Below are 3,620 nucleotides of genomic sequence, written 5' to 3'. Positions count from 1 at the left end.
ATGAAAATGGACAAATAACATCATGTAAAATTAAAAAGCTCTGCACAGAAAAGGAAGCAATTAACAAAGTGAAGAGACAACCCATGGAATGGAAGAAAATATTTGCAAACTATCTATCTGACAAGAGATTAATAAGCAGAATATATAAGGAACTCAACTCAATAGGGAAACATCTAATAATCTGACTAAGAAATAGGTAAATGAGGCTGGGTGCTGTGGCTCATGCCTGTAATACCAGCACTTTGGGAGGCCGAGGCAAGCAGATCATGAAGTCAGGAGATTGAGAGCATCCTGGCCAACATGGTGAAACTCCGTCTCTAGTAAAAATACAAAACTCAGCTGGGCATGGTGGTGCACACCTGTAGTCCCAGCTACTCAGGAGGCTGAGGCAGGGGAATCACTTGAACCCAGGAGGCAGAGGTTGCAGTGAGCTGACATCATGTCACTGACTCCAGCCTGGTGACAGAGAGAGAGACTCCCTCTGAAAAAAAAAAAAAAAAAAAAAAAGGCAAATTTATAGGCATTTCTGAAAAAAGACATACAAATAGCAACCAGACATATGAAAAGGTGGTCAATATTACTCATCCTCAGAGAAATGCAAATTGAAACTACAATGAGAACTACAGTTAAAATGGCTCTTATCCTAAAGATAGGCAATAATGAATGTTGGTTAGAGTGTGGAGAAAAGGGAGCCCTCATACACTGTTGGTGGGAATGTAAATTACTACAGCCACTATGGAGAAGATTATGGAAGTTTCTCAGAAAACTAAAAATAAAACACATACAATCCAGCAGCCTACTGCTAGGTATATATCCAGAAGAAAGAAATTCAGTATATCCTTTGCTGTACTCCCATGTTTACTGCAGAACTATTCATGGAAACCAATATTTGGAATAAACCTAAGTGTCCATCAACAGATGCACGTATTAATATAAATAAAATATGGTATATATACCCAGCAGAGTTCTATGCAGCCAAAAAATAAAAATAAAAATGAGATCCTGTCATTTACAACACAGACAGACATGGAGCACCCTGTCTTAAGCGAAATAAGCCAGGCACTGAAAGAGAAACTTTGCATGTTCTCAGTCATGTACAGGAACTAAAAATTAAAACATTTGAATTCAAGGCCATAGAGAATTAAAAAAGGATAGTGAGAAGGCTAGTGGGAAGGGGGCAGGAGGTGGTGATGATTAATGTGTACAAGAATATAATTAGATAGAATGAATAAGATCTAGCACTTGATAGCACAACAGGGTGACCACAGTCAACAATGATTTATTACAGGGTTAAAAATAATTAAAAGTATAATTGAAATGCTCATAACACAAAGAAATGATAGTTGCTTGAGGTGATGGATACCCCATTTACCCTGATATAATTATTATACACTGATGCCTGTATTAAAGTATCTCATATAACCCATAAATATATATGCCTACTTATGAACTCAAAAAAAAGAACCAAAAAAACAAAATAACCAGATTATTATTTGGTTCAGAGAACATTGTTACTTGGAAAATACTTCAACAAATGGTAATTTCAAAGGCTTAAAAGGGTTGAATAGTCAGTTTGGAGAGTTTTTTAAAAACAGACAAAGCAAAAATATTTAACATAGATTATGTCACCTTTCGTGATACTATGATCACATAATTGCTAATATATGCAGGTAAAATAAAAAATTAATACTCAATAATAATAAATAAAAACTGGTAGACAAATTCTATTTCTGAGAAATATACAGCAAATCCTAGCAGGCTATCTTAAAAAAAAATTGTATCTTTAAAGGCATTAGAGAGCTGTGAAAAAAATGAGGAAAAGAAGTAAATTTAATGAAAAAAAGGACTGTCCTGAGATAAGCTTTTTATTGCAAGTCTCTTTTCCTTAAGGACACTGTCTTTTGTCTCTTCAGACTTGGGAGAGGATTTGGTCTAGAAAGCGTAAATAGAAATCATTAGCATGAGCAGTTTTCTCCACAGAATATCTGCTATGTGTAGGTGCTTCACAGGAAACAAGTGGGCTAGGTCAAGAGATTCCATAAGAAGATTGAAATATCCTTTAGGTTCACATGCATCAAAAATAGCACATACATATATATTTTTTATTGAAACTTAAGAACATTTAAAAATATATAGAACAGCCAGGCGAGGTGGCTCACACCTGTAATCCCAGCACTTTGGGAGGCCAAGGCAGGAGGATCACCTGAGGTCGGGAGTTCGAGACCAGCCTGCCCAACATGGAGAAACCCCATCTCTACTAAAAATACAAAATTAGCCAGGTGGGGTGGTGCATGCCTTCAATCGCAGCTATTTGGGAGGCTGAGGCAGGAGAATCACTTGAACCCGGGAAGTGGAGGTTGCAGTGAGCCAAGATTGTGCCATTGCACTCCAGCTGGGAAACAAGAGCAAAATTCCGTCTCAAAAAAAAAAAAAAAAAAAAAAAAAAAATATATATATATACACACACACACACACACACACACACACACACACACACACACAGATGACAATGTCTTAAATATTTTTGAGTGAGTACAATTTCTAAATAGTTTAATGAATAAAAAGCTAGGTGTGGGAATAAATATAATAAGTCTTTATATATATTATTAAAAAGTTTTCATATCTAGAGAAAAAATAATGTTTAGTCTTAAATTCTGTATCCAGTCAAAATTTATTGAATGAAGACATTTTAAGATCTACAAGAACTCAGAAAATTTGTTAACAGAAACCTCCTAGATCAGAACTAAAAGATGTATTCTTTTTTTTATTATTATACTTTAAGTTTTAGGGTACATGTGCACAATGTGCAGGTTAGTTACATATGTATACATGTGACATGCTGGTGCGCTGCACCCACTAACTCGTCATCTAGCATTAGGTATATCTCCCAATGCTATCCCTCCACCCTCCCCCAACCCCACCACAGTCCCCAGAGTGTGATATTCCCCTTCCTGTGTCCATGTGATCTCATTGTTCAATTCCCACCTATGAGTGAGAATATGCGGTGTTTGGTTTTTTGTTCTTGCGATAGTTTACTGAGAATGATGATTTCCAATTTCACCCACGTCCCTACAAAGGACATGAACTCAACATTTTTTATGGCTGCATAGTATTCCATGGTGTATATGTGCCACATTTGCTTAATCCAGTCTATCATTGTTGGACATTTGGGTTGGTTCCAAGTCTTTGCTATTGTGAATAATGCCGCAATAAACACACGTGTGCATGTGTCTTTATAGCAGCATGATTTATAGTCATTTGGGTATATACCCAGTAATGGGATGGGTGGGTCAAATGGTATTTCTAGTTCTAGATCCCTGAGGAATCGCCACACTAACTTTCACAATGGTTGAACTAGTTTACAGTCCCACCAACAGTGTAAAAGTGTTCCTATTTCTCCACATCCTCTCCAGCACCTGTTGTTTCCTGACTTTTTAATGATTGCCATTCTAACTGGTGTGAGATGGTATCTCATTGTGGTTTTGATTTGCATTTCTCTGATGGCCAGTGATGATGAGCATTTTTTCATGTGTTTTTTGGCTGCATAAATGTCTTCTTTTTTTTTTTATTATACTTTAAGTTTTAGGGTACATGTGCACATTGTGCAGGTTAGTTACATA

Source organism: Homo sapiens, chromosome 11 (genome assembly GCF_000001405.40).
Source record: "Homo sapiens chromosome 11, GRCh38.p14 Primary Assembly".
In the NCBI taxonomy this organism is placed as follows: Eukaryota; Metazoa; Chordata; class Mammalia; order Primates; family Hominidae; genus Homo; species Homo sapiens.
Note: the sequence above shows the minus strand (reverse complement) of the source record.